At 39.4% G+C, this 24,184-nt stretch overlaps 2 long non-coding RNA genes across 5 annotated transcripts in view; one reads left to right on the top strand and one right to left on the bottom strand.

The window, feature by feature from the left end:
* LOC105375509 (uncharacterized) overlaps positions 1-4,381 on the top strand; it is a 41,820-nt gene extending 37,439 nt beyond the window's left edge. The window contains exon 3 of the long non-coding RNA XR_007060528.1: positions 3,156-4,381. This is a non-coding gene — a long non-coding RNA (uncharacterized LOC105375509). The remainder of the gene's footprint in view (positions 1-3,155) is intronic.
* The window catches only part of LOC105375508 (uncharacterized), a 119,688-nt gene that overhangs the window by 58,652 nt on the left and 36,852 nt on the right, over positions 1-24,184 (bottom strand). Inside the window, exons 4-5 of one of the 4 annotated variants that reach the window (XR_927976.3) lie at positions 12,442-12,480; positions 11,147-11,330 (exon numbers count right to left, since the gene is read on the bottom strand). The exons of 2 other annotated variants lie outside the window; for them this stretch is intronic. This is a non-coding gene — a long non-coding RNA (uncharacterized LOC105375508). Of the gene's footprint in view, positions 1-10,843; positions 11,331-12,441; positions 12,481-24,184 lie in introns of those variants that run through there. One more of the 4 variants, XR_007060527.1, reaches the window with a different exon arrangement.

The raw sequence follows: 24,184 nt of genomic DNA, 5'->3' as shown, positions 1-24,184 counted from the left end.
ACAACACAATCGTTACAAAACAGATGCATACACCTACATCGTAACTGGTTATACAAGTGTTAATACCACGACTTAGAATTTTCTTTATCTTTTTACTCCAACAGGGAGATTTGCATCATGAAAGCCTGGAGAGTTTCTCAACTAAACTCTCAGCCTCCCAAATCTAAAACCATGGCATTCATCCACTTTCATTTGCCAAATTAGGATTCTTAATGATTTTAGACCTTTTTCTGTTTTAAAGCTGAAACCAGGATTATGAGCTCCTCTACATTTTTATTGTAAATAATGCATTCTGTTACAGAGAAATTGAAGGCTCATGCTTCCTAAGCCTTTAAGCTACAAACACATTTGTCTGAATCTAATAATCCAGGTAAGGGGAATTGAAATTTACAATTACCCATGATAAAGAAATACCAATTAGCCAAGTGTAAACTGCTAGCACTGAGGCAGGAAAATAGGGTCTGGAGGCAGGGAATGTAAGGCGGATTCACACTTCAGCTATGACAGGAAATATCCTCTCCATAGGGAGTACACCAAATAAATAACTTTGTAACTTTACTTCATCCTCTATTTACATACTACATACCTAATGTAACCAACAGAATCCTCCAGAGGGTATTTAAACTCCCCAAACTTCTGTACCAGGGCCCTTGAGCCCCTAGGCTCGGGCCCGCTCCCACACTGTGGAGTGTACTTTCATTTTCAATAAATCTCTTCATTCCTTCCTTGCTTTGTTTGTGCGTTTTGTCCAATTCTTTGTTCAAGACGCCAAGAGCCTGGACGCCCTCCACCGGTAACAGTATAATTGTGCTGGTGTCTCTCACAAAGGGCTTTTATTCACCCTCTGTTTTCTTTCATCTTTCTTCCCCCTAAACCAAGCTCTACTAAAAATATAATCGCTGATCTTAAAGGAGATTAGAATACAGAGATGTAGGATGGGCTACAGAACAACTCATGTCACCATTAAGACAGGGTTGCAACGTCACTATGTTATAGCTCCTGTCACCCTGGGTAGAACTGTCCCTCAATGGAACTTTGGATTTACACATATCTTATCTTTAGCCCATAAAGGTCATCTTACCTGAACTCCTAACGAATCAACCTATTTGGAGCAGAAGGAAGGAACTATTGTCCAGGATACAAATAGGCCATGTGTGCTTTTCAGAAACTAACAGAACAACCAGAAACTACCAAAAAGAGCAGGATGGCAGGGTCTGGATGGATGCTGCTGCAGGGCAGGTCCCTCCACCAGATGGACCCAAAGAGAGCCTTTAAATATTGACCATTAGTGTGAGATAAACCACTCCTCTCCCATACGGAAAACTGCAGCAGAACACAGGCTATGCTCAGATGTGCAGATGTATCATCTAAGGTTATTTACAAGAGCTAAAGAAGGTCCTCCTTTGGTGAGAGGATTCCAGAGTTATTCAATACGTCATCATCAGTAGTGAAAGAACAGTGTACTTTAAGGGTGAACAACTCATACAGATGTTCTCAGGTATCAATGCAGATAGATGTTAAGAGCTTTTACTTTTAGAAAAAGACTGCTGGAAAGGAAATTTTCAGGACAAAATGGAAAACCAGGCAAGGATCACCAGCTTGGAAGCAAATACACAACATGGAAGAAAAAGACCAGAATTAACAGAAAAAATGTCTCCAGAGGAAACAAATAATTAAGTGAACAGTTTAGAACTGGAAAAGAACATGCAGCATCTTCAGGGAGATTTAGGGAATATTTAATCCACAAAACAAAAACGGGATCCCATAAAAAAGAAACATCACAGAACAACAAAGAGAACAACAACAATCAACAAAAATGGGATTGTCCACATGGAAAAAAAAAATTAGTATAAGACCTGAAAAATGCAGTCAAGAAATTCTAAACAGGCAGGTGTGGTGGCTCACACCTGTGATCCCAGCACTTTGGGAGGCCGAGGCGGGCAGATCACCTGAAGTCAGGAATTCAAGATCACCCTGGCCATCATGGTGAAACCCCATCTCTACAAAAAATACAAAAATTAGCCAGGTGTGGTGGGGTGCACCTGTAATCCCAGCTACTCGGAAGGCTGAGGCAGGAGAATCACTTTAACCCAGGAGGTGGAGATTGTGGTGAGCCAAGACCGTGCCACTGCACTCCAGCCTGGGCAACAGAGCGAGACTCCATCTCAAAAAAAAAAAAAAAAAAGAGAAGAAAAGAAAGAAAAAAAGAAATTCTAAACATTATGGAGGATATGAGTTTTATGCAAAAAAAAGAAAACGAAATCTGGGCTGGAATATTATGAGAGGAAAACAAGCAAGGGTCGTTGAAGCGAGTTAGGAAGGTCCAATCTGACAAGAGTATTTGAAAAAGACAGTGCAGAGAAAATGGAAGGAAGGAAGTCATTAAGCACCACCAAACAAACAAATAAAACAGGGAACAATTTCCCAGAACAGAAGGCTATTGGGCTTCATATTAGAAGGCCTCAAGTGCCCACATGCTTACACCAAAAGCACGCAGGCTTAGAATAGGTTTTCCATGGTCCCAGCTGGTGTCAAGCCATTACCCCAAACTGGCCTCCTTTACTGTGTCTCCAAGGCCTCTCTGGGTTTTAAAATAGTATCTCACCACACATAGGAAATACAACAATAAGAAAATATTTTTTAAATATACTGAAACTCTAGTGCCACCCAACTGAAGGATGCCCTAGAGACACTGACAAACTATTTCAGAAAATTAGTCTTTCTTTTGGAAGACAAAATATTTTGGAAAATAGCACTTTAAGCAAATTTATGCTGAAAATAAACACATATACACATCCATATTTAGTTATCTGTATTTTTCTAAAGTGCCTGCCTTGAAAAGATGTATGTGCAGAGGTCTGTGGGGAGAGGGTTGAGGGCAACACAGTTTTTCTGAAATCCCGATGAAATGGAAAGTACCATGGAAAACAAATCACTTACCAAAATATTGTAACAGAGGCTCAAGAACTAGAAATTTCTGAAAGAAAGCCTATGAATACGTTTCAACTTTTACACCAGAAAGCATTCTCTTATGACAGCTTCAAGATGTACTCGGAAATTGCTTTTACTGAAACTCATTACTCTTTTAAGACTGTATAGCAGTTATTATTTTCTGACATTTCCTTGTTTATTGCTTGTTTCTTTGTGCATTGCAGGTTCCATAAAAGCTGACTTTGTGCCTGGAACATTGGAAGTGACCCGTCAGTGCTTACTGAATGAATAGGCAAATGAACAAAACCTCCTGCAATACAGCTTTCTTACCATGCCTCAAGAGACTCTTCAGTCCATCCTACTGTAGTTGCTTTTGATTGGGTTCTCCCTGAGTACTGACCCTAGGCCCAGATTCAGAGATTTCTCCAAAAAAAGAGCTTCTTTCAAAGACATCATTCCTATTGTCAACCCTGTTGGCATAGACACAAAATGTAAACGTTGGACAAAGGCAATACTTGCTGTGACAAAGGCGATATTTGTTGTAACAAAACACAAATGTCTGTCCATCAGTGGGGAACGAGAATGCTGGGATTTGAAGAGGCCAAAAAAATAATACTGCTCTCTCTTTTGAGAAAGAGAGGGGATTTTTTTTTTTTTTTTGAAAAGCCATAAGCTTAGGACAGATGAAATTCAAAATCCACACTAAACTTCACTGGAGAATGTAAGCAAAATATGAGGCCACAGGTGAGCTTTCTATTTCCTTCCTCCACTCTCCAAGATGGCCCATTGATATTTGGCTGTGTCCCCAAATCTCATCTTGAATTGTAGTTCCTGTAATCCCCATGTGTCATGGGAGGGATCCAGTGGGAGGTAATTGAATCATGGGAGCAGTTACTCCCTTGCTGTTCTGTGATAGTGAATGAGATCTCATGAGATCTGATGGTTTTATAAGGGCCTTTTTCCCCTTTGCTTGGCACTTCTCCGTCCTGCCATCATGTGAAGAGGGATGTGTTTGCTTCCCCTTCTGCCATGATTGTAAGTTTCCTGAGGCCTCCCCAACCATGTGGAACTGTGAGTCAATTAAACCTCTTTCTTTCATAAGTTACCCAGTCTCAGGCAGTTCTTTATAGCAGCGTGAGAACAGACTAATACGCCCACCCAGGATTCAGTCTCCCACCTGCAGAAGCAGAGGTCCCCCAGTCACTGTACTCCTGGCATCTTTGACGGCCAGCCACTGGGACTAAAAGCTCAAAGAGGGCAGGGCCGCTTATGCCTAGTTTCTTCTCCTAGTTTCAACAGTAAGATAAATCATTCCCACCTAGGGGAGAGAATGAAGTCTGGAATCACTAATAGTGTTATACCCTGGGAATGTAAGTTCCCTCATGCAACATGAGGGGGAGGAATAAGATTTCCACCAGATAAATAAATAAATAGTCTGTGGTGCACCCAATGTTATGTTATATATCTATTTACAAGAATACAGTCAGATAAGATCTACATATACCAACACAAGAAATGTTTCAAAGGATTTTAAAAGTGGTAGAAAAATTGCAACATTATTTGTGACTTTTTTTTTTTTTTGACATGGTCTTGCTCTGTCACCCAGGCTGGAGTACAGTAGCATGATCATGGCTCACTGTAGCCTTGACCTCCTAGGCCCAAGGTGTCCCCCTGCCTCAGCCTCCTAAGTAGCTAGGACCACAGGCACATACCATTAAACTCAGCTAAGTTTAAATTTTTTGTAGACATGGGGTTTCACCCTGTTGTGCAGGCTGGTCTAGAACTCCTGGACTCAAGAGACTCCCTGCCGTGGCCTCTCAAAGCACTGGGATTACAGGCATGATCATGGCCCTGCTTATGCAGGTGCAAGACCTCTGCTTACGCAGGTAGGAGCCCTCCATGTCCCCAGCCTGACCTTCTTCTTGTAAAAGTAAATGAATAATTCTAATATATGTTAGCATATGTATAAATATGAAAAAGGAAGACTATGCATTGAACTTAATGATGGTTATCTTTAGCAGGTAGGATCACAGCAAATGTTTATTATAGTTTTGATGATGTCTGAATTTTGTATTAATGGAAAACCATTTCTTCTATAATAAGGAAAAATAATAAAGAGTAGAAAAAAGGGAATTAAATTAGAAAGCAGATGACATTTCTTTTCCTCCTAAGATTGTGCTGAAGAACAAGAGGAAGAGAGAAACCAAATGGGTGTCTGTAGGATTGGAGTAAGCAAATGGCCTTGTCCCCAGGTGCCACCACATATGGTGGGGATAGGAGAGTGCTGGCCACCTGTTGCCTCTCATGGCCTCTCTGTAGTTTTCTCCTTGAAGCCTCAGGAGCCTTCCATTCCCAGTCTCCATCCCTCCTAGTGTATTGTCACAGGAAACCACAGTCTTGGGTCTGGACTTTACAGCCAGCCTATGAGGGCACCGAAGAAAGAGCATGGGCTCTGACAGTAGATGGGCCTAGGCTCAAATGCTAATCCTGCCATGTCCTCAATGTTTGAATCTGGGCAAATCACTTGACTGCTGAGAGTTGGTTTTCACATCTCCAAAATGGATTAAATAATTCTCTCATAACAGGTGGTGGATGTAAAGCCCTTAGCTAGCCTCCCTTCCCCTGATTTATGATTTCCAAACTCTCTGCTTGAGACAGGGTGTCATGGGACACAAGAGGGATACAGCATAAGGAACTGTGTGACATTTAACTTCCTAGAATCACATACACTGGGGACTGGTCACTAGAGAAGAGAAACCAGACCCCAAAGACGCAGAGATCTTGGTGTGGGAGCAGAGATCTGTGTCCAGAAACTGCAGGAAAACCACAAAACTAGGAAGCACGTTCATTTCTCCACCCTCTCATCAAGACAATCAGCCTGCTGCTTCGGGCTCTTCTAAGAGTTTGTTTTTGCTCTGCTGAATGTCTCCTTTTTTGCACTTTGTAATACGCTTTAACATCTTTCTTTATGTATCCGAAGAAATAATCAATCAGCTTTAACTTTCAAAATTCTTGATTTTTCACTGTGGTGGCAAAAAAAGGAAGCCTCTGTGACCCCACCAATAACTCATTTGGGATGTCTTTGAAATATTTAACTGTGTTCCTTTTAAAAAAAAAAATAGTAAAGAGCCAGGCATGGTGGCTCACACCTGTAATCTCAGCACTTTGGGAGGCCGAGGCAGGCAGATCATGAGATCAAGAGATCAAGACCATCCTGGCCAACATGGTGAAACCCCATCTCTACTAAAAATACAAAAATTAGCTGGGTGTGATGGTGCGCACCTGTAATCCCAGCTACTTGGGAGGCTGACGCAGGAGAATCGCTTGAACCCAGGAGGTGGAGGTTGTAGTGAGCCAAGGTTGTGCCACTGCACTCTGCCAGGCTACAAACCGAGACTCCATCTCAAAAAAGCAAAAAAGTAACCGTGGCAATACACCAGGGAAGAACTTCATAGGATACTGCGTTTTATTTCACATTCCCCAACTCAAGCCTTGTCTCCCAGCATTCCTGAGACTAATGGAGGCATGGAAGAGGCACAGTCTGCACAAGCTCAGGCTAACAGCTCTCTTACTATAGATGGTTTTCCGACTAAACATTAAGATGACCCCAAGTAAGCATGGATTCTGTAAATGTGTCACTGAAAAGCTGAATCCTGCTATCAAAGACAAGAAAAGAGCTTCAAGAACAGAAGCTGGAAACAGTCCAGCCACACAAAAGCTGGAAAGATTCAGAAACAAGGCAAGAGTGAGGAGCAAATGATCAGGCTCTGAGAGGGACTAAGCCAAGGTGATTCTGGCATAAGAAGAGGTGACTATAACAGAGGTTTCAGAATACAGCCTCACATATATAAGCAATTGTTTTACAATTAAGAGGCTTCTGTGGTTTAGTGTTAAAAGGATGATCTTTTCAATAAACAGTGCTGGAACCATTGAATACTTATATTTTAAAAATAAGTCTCAATCCATACCTTATATCACATACAAACATCAATCTTAAATAGGTTATAGGCCTAAACTTGTAAGCTAAAACCATTCTTTCAACAATAGAAGAAAACATGAAAGAAAAATCTTTGCAACTTCGAGTTAGGTGAATAGTTTTTAGAGAGGACACCAGTCAGTATCTTTAACCTTAAAAACTTATTAAATTGGCTGGGTGCGGTGGCTCACGCCTATAATCCCAGCACTTTGGGAGGCCGAGGTGGGTGGATCACCTGAGATCAGGAGTTTGAGACCAGCCTGACCAACATGGAGAAACCTCGGCTCTACTAAAAATATAAAATTAGCCAGGCATAGTGGCGCATGCCTGTAATCCCAGCTACTTGGGAGGCTGAGGCAGGAGAATCGCTTGAACCCGGAAGGCAGCAGTTGCAGTGAGCCAAGATCGTGCCATTGCACTCCAGCCTGGGCAACAAGAGTGAAACTCTGTCTCAAAAAAAAAAAAAAAAAAACTTATTACATTGAGCATCAGAAGTAAAACCTTTTTTCCTCCAGAATATACAAGAGGCAACATCGCCAAGATAACAGAGTAGGAAATACCAGCCCTTATCTACCACACACAAAAAAACAAATATAAACAGCTATGCACAAAACAAAATAGTCCAGAGGGAGCTCAATGGTTCATTAAAGAATCTGCAGGAATACAGCAGAGCATAAAAATCCAGGGAATATTCACATAAAAAATATCGCTGGTGAGACTGGCATAGCTAAGATGCCAGGAGATGACTAGTAGCTAAAAAGAAGAAAGTCAAAGACTATCGGTATCAGTTACATGATGTGAACCACCAGCATTCCCAGGGGCCTGCTCCACAAAGGACACTGGCATCTCTTGCTACTGAGCTAACCAACAGCCCTTCTCACCAGAGAACCCCAGAGACAGAGAGATGCCTGAACACCCCGTCCCCATCCATGAATTTGATAGACTGTTGAGCCAATTCAAGAAAGGAGCCACTACCTCTCCCAAGCCCACGTGTTCTTTGATCCTGGAGCTACACTGCACTGCGAGTGCCCGCACTCCGATGATGGCATCTTAGTCCATTTGTGTTGCTCTAAAGGAATACCTGAGTCTGGTAATTTATAAGGAAAAGAGGTTTATTTGGCTTATAGTCCTGCAGGCTGTACAAGAAGCATGGTGCTGGTCTGCTCAGCTTCCTATGAGGGTCTCATGCTGCTTCCACTCATGATGGAAGGTGAAAGGCAACTAGCATGCAGAGATCATATGGTGACAGCAGAAACAAGGGAGAGAGAGAAGGTGCCAGGCTCTTTTGGACAACAAGCTCTTGGGGAAACTAATAGGGAACTCATTCACTACCACAAGGATAGCACCAAGCCATTCATAAGGGATCCTCATGACCCAAACACCTCCCAATAGGCCCCACTTCCAACATTAGGGATCAAATTTCAACATGAGGTTTGGAGGATCAAATATTCAAACTATAGCACCTGGACTCTGTGGCTGTACTGGGCCTGACACTGGAGTCATCACCAAAGTGAGCTAGTTCACACGCCAGGCCTAGGAGCCAAACCTTCACTGTCTATGCTTGCTCTCTGGGCACCAGCTCAGCTACCATAGAGAGCTAGGCCCCACCTGGACCCCAGAGCCACTCTAACTCTGCACACACCTGTGTTCCCATTCTCAGCTCCCCAGCTAATCCACAAACATCTGCAACTTGCATATCTTCACCAACTCAGCAACAGGGGTGCCTTCACCCTGGGCACCAGTGGCATTACCACCCTGGATCCCACAACTGCAGTCCCTCTACACATGCCTGTGCCTCAGGCCTCAGCACTGTGGTTGCTCCACAGGTGCCATGCATCAGACACCAGTGCCACCGCCACCAGGAGTGGGCCTACAAGCCAGACCCAGTGCCAAGAGGGATCCCCTCAGCACCAACATCTCCAGAGAGGAAAAAAGAGATCAGGAGGACTTAGCAGCCATTGCCACTGAAGATCCTAACAATCCTTACTGCCACTATAGACATCCACAATATTGGCCACTGAGGATCTCTGCAATCTTTGTTAACACTGACCTCGGCTTACAGTGCCACACACAGACTACACAGCTGCACTGTCACTGGTATCAGAATCCCTGAACACCACCAAGCAAGCACTTTCATACTCCCCTACAGGGGAAGGTCTTTCCACAGCAAAACTAGCCTGTAAAGTCTGGAAGAGGTGACTGCTCCATCAAATGCACAGATATGTACAAAGACAACAAGAAACATGAAAAACAATGGAGACATAATACCACCAAAAGAAGACAATGATTTCCTAGTAACCAACCCCAAAGAAATGTAGATATACAAACTGCCTGACAAAGAATTCAGAATAATAGTTTCAAGGAAGCTCAGTAAATTTCAAGAAAATACAGAGAAACAATTCAATGAAATAAAAAAATAATCAACTACCAAGTGAAAAATTTAACAGTGAGATTGAAATTATTTTTTAAAAATCAAGCAGAAATTCTGTAGTCCCAGCTACTCAGGAGGCTGAGGCAGGAAGATCACTTGAACCCAGGACATCAAGGCAGTGAGCCATGGTCATGCCACTGCACTCCAGCCTGGGTGACAGAGCAAGACTCTGCATCAAAAAATGTATCTCTTGAGACAAATGGAAATGGAAACGCAACATACCAAAACTCACGGGATGCAGTAAAAGCAGTTCTATCAGAGAAGTTTATGGCAATAAATAGCTACGTCGAATATGAAGAAACATCCCCCCAAAAACAATCTAATTCTACATCTCAAGGAGCAAAAGAAGGACAAATGAAGCCCAAAGTTAGTAGAAGAAAGGAAATAATAAAGATTAGAACAGAAATAAATGAAATAGAAACAAGAAAAACTGTAGAAAAGAGCAATAAAACTAGGAGCTGTTTTTTTTGAAAAGATAAGCAAAATTGACGAGCCTGTAGCCAAACTAAGAAAAACTTTTGTTCTCCAAAGACACCAAGAAGAAAATAAAAAGACGAGCCCTAGACTGGAAGAAAATATTTATTATAAATATATCTGGAAAAGGTCTTATACCTAGAATACATAAAGAATTATAAATCAAAAATTAAAAAAATAAACAACTCAATTTTTTTAATGGGCAAGACTTGAGACACTTCAAAAAAGAAGATATACAAATGGCCAATATGCACAGAAAAAGATGCTTAATATTGTCAGTCATCGTGTAAAATACACATTAAAATCACAATGAAATACCATGACATACTCAGCAGCATTAGTAAAAGTTTAAAAGATCGACAATAACAATTGCTGGCAAAAATGTTGGGCAATGCGAATTCTCACACACTGTTGGTGGGAATGTACAATGATTCAACCACTCTGGAAAAGAGTTTGGCGGTTTATTATAAAGTTAAACATACCCTTACCCATGGACTTGCAATTCCACTCCTAGGTATTTATTTACCCAAAAGAATGGAAAAACATGTGCCTACACAATGACTTGTATATGACTGCTTATTAGTGGCTTTATTCCTCATAGCTCAGAACTGAAACAACCCAAAGGTCCATCAACAGGTGGATAAATGGATAAACACATGGTGGTATATTCATGAACCAGGGAATATACGCATCATCATTAAAAATGAATGAACTGCTGATGAAGCAGCAGCGTTGATGACCTCACAGATATTAAGTTGAGCAAAAGAAGCCCAACAGAAAAGAACACACACTGTATAATTTCATTTTTATGATGCTCTAGAGTAGACAAAATGAATCTATGGTGAAAAAAATAAGAAAAAAAATGGTGGCCTCAGATGGGGATAAGATAGGAATTAACCACAAAGTGACTGCAAAGAGGCAGGGGGGACTTTGGGGATGATGGAAGGGTGGCAGTGCATAGGAATATGCCTTGGTCAAAACTAATCAAACCGCGCAGTTACAACGGGTGCCTTTATTAAATATAAATTCTCTCTCAACAAATTGATTTTATTTTTTAAAAATGTCAGATAACATCATGCCTCGAAACCCTGCCAAGATCTTCCTTTCATGCTGCATGAAAACCAAAGTTCTTGCTCTGGCCTATAAGGCCCTTCATGTTCTACACCTTCCCCCATTACCTTCTGAACTCATCTCCCACCATAAGTATCACCATTCGCCCTACTTCAGCCACTGTGGCCTCCTCCCCAGCAGCCAGCACACTGCCACCTCAGAGCCTTTGTACTAGCTGTTCCTTCCTCCTGGAATGCTTTCCCTCAGACAGCCACATATTTCACCTTCTCTTAGTCTTCGCTCCAGTTCCATCTTCTCAGTAAGACTCGTCTTGACAGTCTTATTTAAAATTTCACTCTCTTTCTGTATTCTGGACATCTTTTATTCATTCTCATTAATGTGCTGATCCTTTCCTAAATGCTGGTGGGATTATAAATTTTATAGCCATTGAAGAGAGAGCCTCGTGTACTGAAATAGAAGATAGAAGATGGGCTTGACCTACAATTCAATAGTTATACTCTTTTGTTTCTATCCTACAGAAGCATTTATACATGTGCACAAGGATGCATATATTAGGATGTTCACTGCAGCAGGGTCTAAAATAGTAAAAGCTTGGAAATAATTTAAAATTCCATCAATAGGAAGATGCTTAAATATATTTTATAAAGAACTGTTCAGCATTTAAGCAGAATTAGGTATACACTAACATGGGTGAATCTCCAGGATATACTGTCAAGTGGAGAAATTAAGTTTTTTATTAAAAAAAAATCAAAGAAGCGTAAAATGTGACTGAAGAGTAGCAGTAGGGATCTTTTTGGTAATGGAACAGTTCTCTCTCTCAATTGTGATGCTGATTAGAAAATCTACATATGATACAATTACAAAAAAAATACACACAGCAAGTGTATATAACCTGGTGAAATCTGAACAAATTCTGTGGATTTTACCAATGTTGATGTCCCAGTTTTGATAATGTACTATAGGTATATAAGATATTACCACTGGCAGAGGCTAAGTGAAGTGGGTACAGTCTCCTGTACCATTATTTTTGGAACTTTTTGTGAATCTATAATTATTTCAAAATAAAAAGTTTAAAAAGAAGAAATGAAAAATAAATGTTGTTGTACTCTGAAGATTCAATTTGATGACATCAATTCTTTCTAAATTGTCTAGAGTCCATGCAATCTCAAAACTTTTAAAAAGTAACTTGACAAACAGGTTTTAAATTTTATATGAAAATACAAGGAACCAAGTATCATGAAAACACTTGAAGAACAACAAAGGTAGAGAATTTGTTCTACCACACAAAGATGTATTATAAAAGTATGGTAATAAGGAATATGGTATTGCCACAAGAATAAGCAAATTGATCAATGGAACAGAATATAGTCTAAAGGTGGAGGTGGGGAACAATTAATGTAAGGATACTTGATTAACGGCTAAGTTGGCACTGTAAAATAGAGGGAAAAGATGGACTCTTCAATAAAAGGTGCTGGGAAATTTGGGTACTTGTATATAAAATCTGTATAAAAAATAAAATTATATTCCTACTTCACACCAAACACAAAGATCAACTTACCCATCATAAAACTGCTTCAATGAGCAATTATGAATACACCTAGAGGAAATGAAAAATAGTATCAGCAAAATAAATAAACAAAATATATAAAGAAAAACCAAATGGCAATTTAGAACAGAAAAACACAATAACCAGGCTAGGCACAGTGGCTCACGCCTGTAATCCCAGCACTTTAGGAGGCGGAGGTGGACAGATCACCTGAGGTCAGGAGTTTTGAGACCAGCCTGGCCAATATGGGGAAACCCTGTCTCTATTAAAAATGCGAAACTTAGCCTGCAGGCATGGTGGCGCATGCCTGTAATACCAGCTACTTGGGATGCTGAAGCAGGAGAATAGCTTGAACCCGAGAGGTGGAGGTTGCAGTGAGCTGAGACTGCCACTGTACTCCAGCCTGGGCAACAGAGCAAGACTCTGTCTCAAAAACAAAAAAAAAGAAAGAGAAAAAAAAATAACCAAAATTTGAAAACTCAATGGATATAGGCTCAATACCAAAATGGAGAGGACAGTGGAAAGAATCAACAAATTTGAAGACACAGGGTCCTACCAAATGTTTAAAGAATCATTAACACTAATTCTACAGGACCAACTCAAATTATGAGGTCAGTTTCACTATTATCAAAACTTGACCAAGAAAATACAAAGAGGAAAGGAGGGAGGGAGGGAGGGAGGGAGGAAGATCTGTCACGAATACAGACGCAAAATTTTAAACAAAATATTAGCAAATACAGTTTAGTAATATGTAAAAATAAGTATGCGCCATGACTAGGTAGGATTTTTTCCAAGTATACAATGATGGTTCAATAGCTGAAAATCAACCAATGCAATCAACCATATTAACGGACTGTTCCGAGAGACTCCAGCTAAACTGGGATTCCAGTAGCAGAGCAGCTAGAGACCCTGCACTGATGAGAAATGGGGAGGAGCCTGACATGGGTATTTACTGTGTGTCTTTCACAGAATACTTCTTTTACCTGGCAGATAACCCAATATCTAGCTGTTTGACCTATGACCAGGGTGTCCCTCACATGGGAAACTTGTTTATATTAGCAGGGGTCCTTGTGGCTCATATCTGACCTGTGTTCTGTTTATGCCTGCTTGACTACTGCTCTGGCACTGGGAACCCAACCCTGTTTTCTCTAGCATCCCAGAGAGAACCTGGCCCAGGGGAGCCCCTGGTTCTTCAGAGTAAGATGCAAATTTAGTGCACTACCACAATAGGAAATATCTTCAGATATTTATTACTTAAAGATTCTGGGCAGGGAGGGTGCAATGAGTAAGGAGGGCAATCCTACATTCCCAGGGAGGGCACTCCTACATTCCTGCATCACACAAGCACACAAGGCAAAGCAGAAATGAAGAGTTGGTCAGAGAGAGAAACAAAGAAAGAGAGAGAATGGCAACTAGCAGTAAATACAATGAAATGGGGTATATGGGTCACTTTAAGTTCATAGACAAATTCCCAAATGGTCCTTTTAAAGGAAGTAGTGGGAAAACCAGGGAGCCCAATCTGCTAGATGAGAGAGATGTCTCCAAGTTCTTATCTGCAGCCACGGGCTTCAGCCATCTGGATGTGGCATAGGCCAGCAACTTTTACTGTGTTGTTCCCATTACACAGATTAAAGAAGAAAAGTTGAATAATCATATCAATCAATGCCAAAAAGTATCTGACAAACTTTAACATTCATCCATGCTAAAAACTCTCAGGAAGCTAGAAATACAAGGAAAGTTCCTTGACTTGATAAAGTTCATATACAAAGACGCTACAAATAACATCATACTTAATAGCACAAAACTGAATGAATTCTCCCTAAGGTCAAGAACAAGCGAAAAATGTCCACTTTCACCACCATTATTCAGCATCGTACTGGAAGTCGTAGTCAGCGCAATAAGCCAGAAAAAGAAATAAAAACAATACATATTGGACAGAAAGAAATTAAACTATCCCTGCTTGCAGATAATATAATGATCTGTACAGAAAATTCCAAGTAATCTATTAAAAAAACCCTCCTAGAACTAATAAGTAAGTTCAGCAAGGATGCAGTTACAAGAGTTATATACAAAAATCAATTGTAGAAAAGAGTCAAGATGGCTGACTAGACACAGCCAGGAAGAGCATTTCCCACTGAGAGACCAGACCATCAAGAAAACGGACACACTCTGAGCCGATCTTCAGAGAGAAGGCATTGAGAGTGGACAGAGGGAGAGCACAGACCCTGGGCTGAAGGCAAAGGAGGCTGGGAGCCCTGCATGGGGTTTCCAAGCACCAGGACTCACTGCTGGCACCCAGAAGCTCCTGGGGAAAGGGTGGGTTAAATAGGTGAGGATTGGCCCACTCTCACCACAGACCTCCAGAATCCTAGCTGCAGAAGACTCCATCACCTCCACAGACATTTGAGCTGACAGGGAGAGCTGCTTGGAGAGGAGGCAGGGACAGGACTCCAGCCTGTGTGGAGCCCAGAGGGTTTGGCACAGGAATGGTTGCAGCGGAGCACAACCAGAAACACCCATCCTCCAAGGCTTGCCATGCTCTTCTAGGTGGCTTTGGCCTTTGTTGACTGTCAGAATTGGACAGAGAAGAGCATTCTTGCCCACGGGATGGGGACAGTCTGGTCTGAGCACCTCCTTGTCTGCTGGCCTCTCCCGGAGTCCCTGCCTGGCCACACCTGCTTGCAGCACAACCTTGGATGCCCAACCAAGGTATTTCCTGGCAGCTGCTGCCATAGCTTCTTCTCCAGCAGATCCCACCTAACCACAGGAGAATTACAGAGAAGGGGCAGGTCACCTACCAAGGGAACCCCATCAGGCTAACAGCAGACCTTTCAGCAGAAACCCTACAAGCCAGAAAAAATTGGGGGCCTATCATTAGCTTTTTTTTTTCTTTTTTTTTTTTTTTTTTGAGACGGAGTCTTGCTCTGTCGCCAGGCTGGAGTGCAGTGCAGTGGCACCATCTCGGCTCATTGCAACCTCCGACTCCCTGGTTCAAGTGATTCTCCTGCCTCAGCCTCCTGAGCAGCTGGGATTGTAGGCACACGCCACCACACCCAGCTAATTTTTGTATTTTTAGTAGAGACGGAGTTTCACCATGTTGGCCAGGATGGTCTCGATCTCCTGACCTCGTAATCCACCCGTCTCAGCCTCCCAAAGTGCTGGGATTACAGGTGTGAGCCACTGTGCCCAGCCTATAATTAGCATTCTTAAAGAAAAATTCCAACCAAGAATTTCATATCCAGCCAAACTAAGCTTCATAACTAAAGGAGAAATAAAATCCTTTTCAGACAAGCAAATGCCAAGGGAATTCATTACCATCAGACCTGTCTTACAGGTCCTTTAGGGACTGCTATATATGGAAACAAAAGGCCATTACCAGACACTACAAAAACATACTTAAATACATAAACCATTGACACTATAAAGCAAATACACAATCAAGTCTGCATAACAACCAGCTAACAACAACATGACAGGACCAAATCCACACATATCAATATTAACTTTGAACATAAACAGGCTAAATGCCCCACTTAAAAGGCACACAGTGGCAAGTTGGATAAAGAAGCAAGCCCCAACTGTATGCCGTTGTCAAGAGGCCCATTTTACATGCAATGACACCCACAGGCTCAAAAGTTAAAAAATGGAGAAAAATCTACCAAGCAAGCAGAAAACAAAAAAGAGTAGGGGTTTCTATTCCTATTTCAGACAATACAGACTTCAAACAAACAATGATCAAAAGAGACAAAAAGGGCATTACATATGACAAAGGATTCAATTCAACAAGAAGACTTAAGTATCCTAAATATATATGTACCCAATATTGTACCACCCAGACTCATAAAACAAGTTCTTAGAGACCTACAACAAGACTCAGATAACCACATAATAATAGTGGGAAACTTCAACATCCCACTGACAGTAATAGACCATCGAGGCAGAAAACTAACAAAGGTATTTGGGACCTAAACTCAACACTTGACCAAATGGACCTAACAGATATCTACAGAACACTCCACCCAACAACAAATATATGTTCTTCTTAACTGCATATGGCACATACTCTAAAACTGACCACACACTCAGCCATAAAACAACTCTCAACAAATTCAAAAAAAACCAAAATCATACCAACCAGACTCTCAGACCACAGCAAAATAAAAATAGAAATCACGGCCAGGCGCAGTGGCTCATGCCTGTAATCCCAGCACATTGTGGGGCCAAGGCAGGCAGATCCCTTGAGGCCAGGAGTTCAAGACCAGCCTGGCCAACATGCTGAAACCCTGTCTCTACTAAAAATACAAAAATTAGCCAGGCATGGTGGTGCACGCCTGTAATCCCAGCTACTCAGGAGGCTGAGGCAGGACAATTGCTTGAACCCAGGAGACAGAGGTTACAGTGAGCCAAGATCATGCCACTGCACTCCAGCCTGGGCAAGAGAGTGAGACTGTGTCTCAGGAAAAAAAAAAAAAATAGAAATCAATACTAAGATGATCTCTCAAAACTATATAATTTCATGGAAATTAAACAATCTGCTTCTGAATGACTTTTGGGTAAATAATGAAATGAAGACAGAAATCAAGAAATTCTTTGAAACTAATGAAAACAAACATACAATATATCAGAATCTTTGGGACATAGAGGAAAGTTTATAGTGTTAACTGCCTATATCAAAAAGTTAGAAAGGTCTCAAATTAACAACCTAACATCACAGCTAAAGGAACTAGAAAAACCAGAGCAAATCACCCCCAAAGCTAGCAGAAGGAAAAAAATAACCAAAATCAGAGCTAAACTGAATGAAACTGAGATGCAAAAAACCATCCAAAAGATGAACAAAATCAAAAGTTTGTTTTTTGAAAGAATAAATAAGATTGATAGGCCACTACCTAGACTAATAAAAAAAAGAGAGAAGATCCAAAAAAAATCAGAAACAAAAAAAATTACCACTGACCACACAGAAATACAAAAACCCTCAGAGATTATTACAAACACCTCTATGCACACAAACTCAAAAACCTAGAAGAAATGGATGAATTCCTAGAAACATACAACCTCCCAAGATTGAACTAGGAAGAAACTGAAATTCTGAATAGACCAATAATGAGTTCTAAAATTGAATCAGTAATAAAAAGTCTACAAACCAGAAAAAGCCCTGGACCTAATGGATTCACAGCTAAATTCTACCAGATGTATAAAGAAGAGCTGGTACCAATCCCACTGAAACTATTGCCAGGAATTGAGGAGGAAAGACTCCTCCCTAACTTGTTCTATGAAGTTAGCATCATTCCGATACCAAAATCTGGCAGAGACACAACAACAACAAAAAGAAACTCCAGGCCAATATCCCTGATGAGCATAGATGCAAAAATCCTCCACAAAATACTAGCAAATCGAATCCAGCAGCTCATTGAAAAGCTAATCTGCCACAATCAAATAGGCTTATTCCTGGGATGCAAAGTTGATTCAACACACACAAATATATTATATACATTGGTTTTCATATATTTAACCATCTTTGAATTTCAGGAATAAATCTCACTTGGTAATAGTGTATAAACCTTTTAATATGCTGCCATATATGGTTTGCTAGTATATATTTGAGGACTTAAACATCAATATTCATAAAGAATACTTGTCTGCAAAAGAAATTAATTGTATTTCTACATACTAGCAATGACCACATGGAAACCAAAATTAGAAATACAATACCATTTACAATTCCACAAAAAAGGGAGGTACATGCGAACTAACAAAATACAGCATTGCTTTTATAAAACATAGCATTAAATTGTATGCTAAAAACTATAAAACACTAATAAAAGAAATCAAAGTAAATATAAATTGAGAGACACACCATGTTCACAGAATGAAAGACTCAATATAGTAAAGATGTCACCTCTTCTCAGATGGATATACAGGTTTAATACAATTCCTATAAATATCCCAGAAATATTTTTTGTAAGTTATTCCAAAATTTATATGGAAAGTCAAAGAAGTAGAATGGCTAAAATAACTGTGAAAAACAAGAATAAATTGAAGGAAAGTACTCTACTCCATTTAAGACATTATACAGATAAAGTAATCCAGATGTGTGTTACTGGCAGAGAGATAGACACATAGATCAATGAAAGAGAATACAGAACCCACTAACAACTAACTTTTGAGGATACAAAAGCAATTTAGTGATGAAAGGATACTCTTTTCATCAAATAATGTGGGGGCAATTGGATCTCCATATGCAAAAAGATAACCTCAACCAAAACCTCACAGCTTATACAAAAGTTAATTCAAAACTGATAATAAATTAAATATTAAATATAAAACTATATACCTTTTAGAAAAAAAGAATGGGAAAAAATCTGCAGTACTTAGGACTCGGGGAAGAATTCTTAGACATGGCACCAAAAGCATGATCCATAAAAGAAAAAAATTGATAAACTGGATGCCATCAAAAATAATAACTTTTGCTCTGTGAAAGACACTGTTCAGATAATAAAGAGACAAACTGAAAACTAAAAGAAGTTATTTGCAAACCACATATCTGATGAAAGACTCATGCTTAAAATAGTTAAAGCATTCTCAAAATTCAACAGTAAAGAAGGCACCCAATTAGAAAATGGACAAATGACATGAAGAGATATTTTACTGAAGAGAGCACATGGATGCAAAAAGCATATTAAGAGATGTCCAACATCACTATTCATTGGAGAATTAAAAATAAATACCATTACGAGATATCACCATGTACCTATTAATACAGCAAAATAAAAAGAAATAGTAATAACATCAAATGGTGACAAAGATGCAGAGAGACTGGATTTCTCATACATTGCTGGTGGGAATGCAAAATGGTAGAGCAACTCTAGAAAACAATTCAGCAGTTTCTTCAAAAACTATACAGTTGACCCTTATTATCCTTAAGGGATTGGTTTCAGGTCCCCCTGCAGATATCAAAATCCATGGATGCTCAAGTCCCTTATATAAAATGGCGCATCTTATCTGATCTTAGAATCAGGGTTGGGCCTGGTTAGAATAGAAAATAAAATGGTGGAGTATTTGCATATAACTTACATATATCCTCTCATACTTTAAATCATCTCTAGATTATTTACAATACCTAATACAATGCAAATGCTATTTCAATAGTTGACATACTGTATTTTCTAAAATTTATATTATTTCCTATTGTTGTATTGTTATTTTTATGTTTTTTCCCAAAATATTTTTGATCCATGGTTGGCTGAATTCATTGATGTAGAACCCACGGATATGGAGGGCCAACTGTATGTACATTTACCATATGACCCAGCAATCACATTCCCAGGCATTTATCCCAAAGAAATGAAAACTTAACTTCACACAAAAACCTGTGCATGATTTCCATGATTGTTCATAAAAACTTTATTTGTACTAGTGAAAACCTAGAAAAAAACAAAAATGTACTTCAATAGGTGAATAGTTAAACAAACTTTAGTACATCATACCTTGGAATACTTCTCAGCAATAAAAAGTAAATGAACTTTTGTTCATTTACAATTTAAATGGGGTTTCAGGGCATTATATTGAGTCTTTTTTAAAAGGCAGCCTCAAAAGGTCACATACTGTATGATTCCACTTATGTAAAATTCTGAAAATGACAAAAATCATAGGGTTGGAGAACAAATTAGTGGTTGTCAAGGCTAAAAGACGGTAGGGAGTGGAGTGGATGTGACACAGAAAAGTAGCATGAGGGAGGTCTTTGTGGTGAGGGGGATAGCTCTGCACCTTGATTGCAGCAGTGGTTAAAGGAAGCTACTCTTGTGACAAATGGCATAAAACTATATACACACATTGTAACAATGTCAATTTCCTGGCTTTGCTATTATACTGTAGTTAGATAAGATCTAACTATTGAACAAAACTGGTTGAGGGGTACATCAGATCTCTGTACACTATTTTTGCAACTTTCTGTGAATCTTTATTTCCAAAGAAAAAGTTTTACAAAAAGTACATTTTGGACTGGAATTCTAAATTTGCCACCTAAATAATTTATTTATTAGAAATGGGGGTCTTGCTCTGTTGCTCAGGCTGGAATATGGTAGTGTAATCACAGCTCACTGCAGACTTGACCTCCCAGGCTCAAGCAATCCTCCCACCTCAGCCTCCCATGTAGTCAGGACCACAGGTGCATACCACCATGCCTGGCTACTTTAAAAATTTTTTTTTATAGAGATGTGGTCTCCCTATGTTGCCCAGGCTGGTCTTGAACCCCTGGCCTGAAGCAATCCTCCTGCCTTGGTCTCCAAAGTGCTGGGATTATAGCCGTGAACCACTGTGCTCAGCCAAGAAAGAAAGGAGAAGGAGGAGAAGGAGGAGTTGTTGAAGGAGGATGAGGAGGAGGAAGAGGAGGAGGAGGGGAAGGGGAAGAAGGGTAGGAGGAGGAGGAAGAAAAACAACAACAAGAAAAAGAAGTGGAGGAGGAGGAAGAACAACAACAAGAAAAAGAGGAGGAGGAGGAGAAAAGGGATGGAGATCGGGGAGGGATTACCACCAATAAAATCTTAATCTGAAAGGCAACAATGTCTCAGCATTAGAATATCTATTAATATAATAAACAAGGTAGTTGTATTAATCACAACTTCCCAAAAGTAAAGAAGAAAACTATATGATCCCTTTAATAGATGCCCCTAAAAATATCTTGATAAAATTCAGTGCCTACTCCTAACAAGAATCTGTTATTACATATGCTAAGAATAAAAGATGTAACAGGGAGGTGTGGTGTAAGCTGCTGGGTGAGATGTTTTACTGCCATGTGAGATCCTGAATTAACAGGGGTCTCTAATTCTTCATGGCCAGGTTTAAGGCCCAGGTCTTGACAGAAGATTCTCAGCATCAGTCTAGATTGGTCCAGCCAATACAATAATGTAAGCAAAATAATTAAAAGGTAAAGTACTAGAAAAAAATGTTTAAAGAGAACAGATAAATCTGCCACCATTTGCATTTAAATGATGTTGGAATTCCTTCCCTCCTCATCAGCTTGGCCAACTACTAATACCATTTAGTGTTTGTAGGAGTGTGATGAAATGAGCACTCTCTCATACATTACCATTGGGAAAACAAGTTGGTACAATTTATAGCCATTTGAAAGTATCTTTTATAAATAAAAATACACATATACTTGGATCAGCAATGCCACTTTAGAAATGTACCAGATAGAAAAATATTCACAGATCTATAAGGAAAATACTGCATCATTAAAAAATATACAAATAGATTAAGACAACTTGAAGTTTCAACACTTAGAGAAAGGGTAAATAGAGTCTTACTATGGAAGACTATGTAGCTGTTAAAATAAAGCCTATCCATATAGTTGAACCAAACTGTTAAATAGGTTACTCTGCTGAGGAAAAAAATGTATTTTACTGGGAGAAGGTGAAAAATGAAGGATGGGTTTTCACTTTTTTGGTTTATATATTTCTGAAGTGTTGGAATTATTGTCAGTGATTATATATTACTTTTGTAACAAAAAAAAGTTTAAAGGGTACCACAGATAGAATTTTTAAAACTATCTAAAACCTTCAAATACCTGAAGGAGGTAAAAGTAAAGAACAATGTAGTCCATGCATAAAAAGAAATAACAAAGGAAATGAGGGAAAGGGGAAAAAAGCATTAAGCATAACAACAGAAGACACAGTCAGTATAAGAAATAAACTCCAACTGTGTGCTCTTTATAAGGTTGTAAATTAAACAATGTTCAAAGATATATTGACAAATACAAATAAGACAAAATTAAATATTTTGATATGTAAAGTGAGTCAATATACATTAAATTTAAAAAAGGAAATTTTTATACCAATAAAGGGTATAATCCTCACAGCAGATGTGATAGATATGGAATGTTATACACCAAACAACAATAAATCAAACTCTTAAATGCTTTTTCTAAATAAAAAAAGAATAAGTACATTATATCAGCAGAGGTAAATATAGGCTATGTGGATTTGAATACTAGCTCTGTCACCTAGTCACTATGGAAATGGAGCAAGTCGTTTAAACTTTGTCTTAATTTTTCTTATCTCCAAAATGTGGTGTATTAGTCCATTTTCAAGCTGCTGAAAAAACTGCACAATTTACAAAAGAAAGAGGTTTAATTGGACTTACAGTTCCATGTGGCTGCGGAAGCCTCACAATCATAGCACAAGGCAAGGGGGAGCAAGTCACATCTTACATGGATGGCAGCAAGCAAAGAGAGAGCTTGTGCAGGGAAACTTCCATTTTTTCAAAACCATCAGATCTCGTGAGACTCATTCACTATGACAAGAACAGCGCAGGAATGACCCATCCCCATAATTCAATCAACTCCCACCAGGTTCCTCCCACGACATGTGGGAATTGTGGGAGCTACAATTCAAGATGAGATTTGGGTGGGGACACAGGCAAACCATATCATGTGGATACTAAAAGAACCTACCTTATGGAATTTTTATGAGGATTTAATTATGTAACAAACAGAGGCAGTACATAGAAATCTCTCAATTCTATGTATATGACATATCATCATATGTCAATATGAACTATTAGAGTTAAAAATTTAAAACATAATATCATTTACATTAGTACCAAAAAGCAATGAAACACATAGGTATAAATTTAACAAAATTTTTACAAGATCTTTGTGAGACAAATTACAAAACTGTGGTGAAAGAAATTAAAGAAGATCTAAATAAATGGAGAGAGAGTCTATGTTTATGGATAAGAAGACAATATTTTTAAGATGCCAGTTCTTCTCAACTTAATATATAGATTCAATGCAATCTTGATCAAAATCCAAGCCAGTTATTTTGTGTACATTGATAAACTGATTCTAAAGTTTATATGAAAGGCAAAAGATCCAAAATACTCAGAAAATACTAAAGAAGAACAAAATCAAAGGACTGACACAACCTGACCCCACGACCTACTATAAAGCTTACAGTAATCAAGATAATGGGGTATTAGTGAAGGAAAAGACAAATAGGACAGGTGTGGTGGCTCATGCCCATAATCCCTGCATTTTGGAAGGCCAAGGTGGGTGGATCACTTGAGCCCAGGAGTTCAAGACCAGTCTGGCAACATGGTGAGACCCCATCCCTCATATCTACAAAAAATACAAAAATTAGCCAGGTTTGGTGGCACATGCCTGTGGTCCCAGCTACTCAGGAGGCTGAGGTGGGGAAACCACCTCAGTCTGGGGAGGTCAAGTTTGCAGTGAGCTGGGATCACACCACTGGGCAACAGAGACCCAGTCTCAAAAAACAAAACAAAAGCAAAGAATAGACAAATAGATCAGTAGAACAGATGGAGAGCTCAGAGATAGACCCATACAAATATAGTCAACTGATGTCTGACAAATGAGTTAAGGCAATTCAATGGAAAAAGAATGGTGTTTTCACCGAATGGTGCTGAAGCAAGTGGGCATCCACATGCAGGAAAAAAAAAATGAAAGAAAGAAAGAATCTAGATACAGACCTTACATCTTTCATAAAAATTAACTCAAAATGGATCATAGCTCTATGTAAAACAGAAAGCTATAAAACTGCCTGAAATATTTAACATAGTGGAAAATGTAGATGACCCTGGGTTTGGCAATGAGTTTTTAGATAGAACACCAAAACCGCAATTCATGAAATAAAAAATTGACAGCTTGAACTTCATTAAAATTAAAGCTTTTTGCTCTGTGACATACATTGTTAAGAGAATGCAAAGGCAAGCCACACACTGGAAGAAAATATTTGTG

This window comes from Homo sapiens, chromosome 7 (genome assembly GCF_000001405.40).
Source record: "Homo sapiens chromosome 7, GRCh38.p14 Primary Assembly".
Lineage (NCBI taxonomy): Eukaryota > Metazoa > Chordata > Mammalia > Primates > Hominidae > Homo > Homo sapiens.
This window is presented reverse-complemented; position numbering and strand designations above follow the sequence as displayed.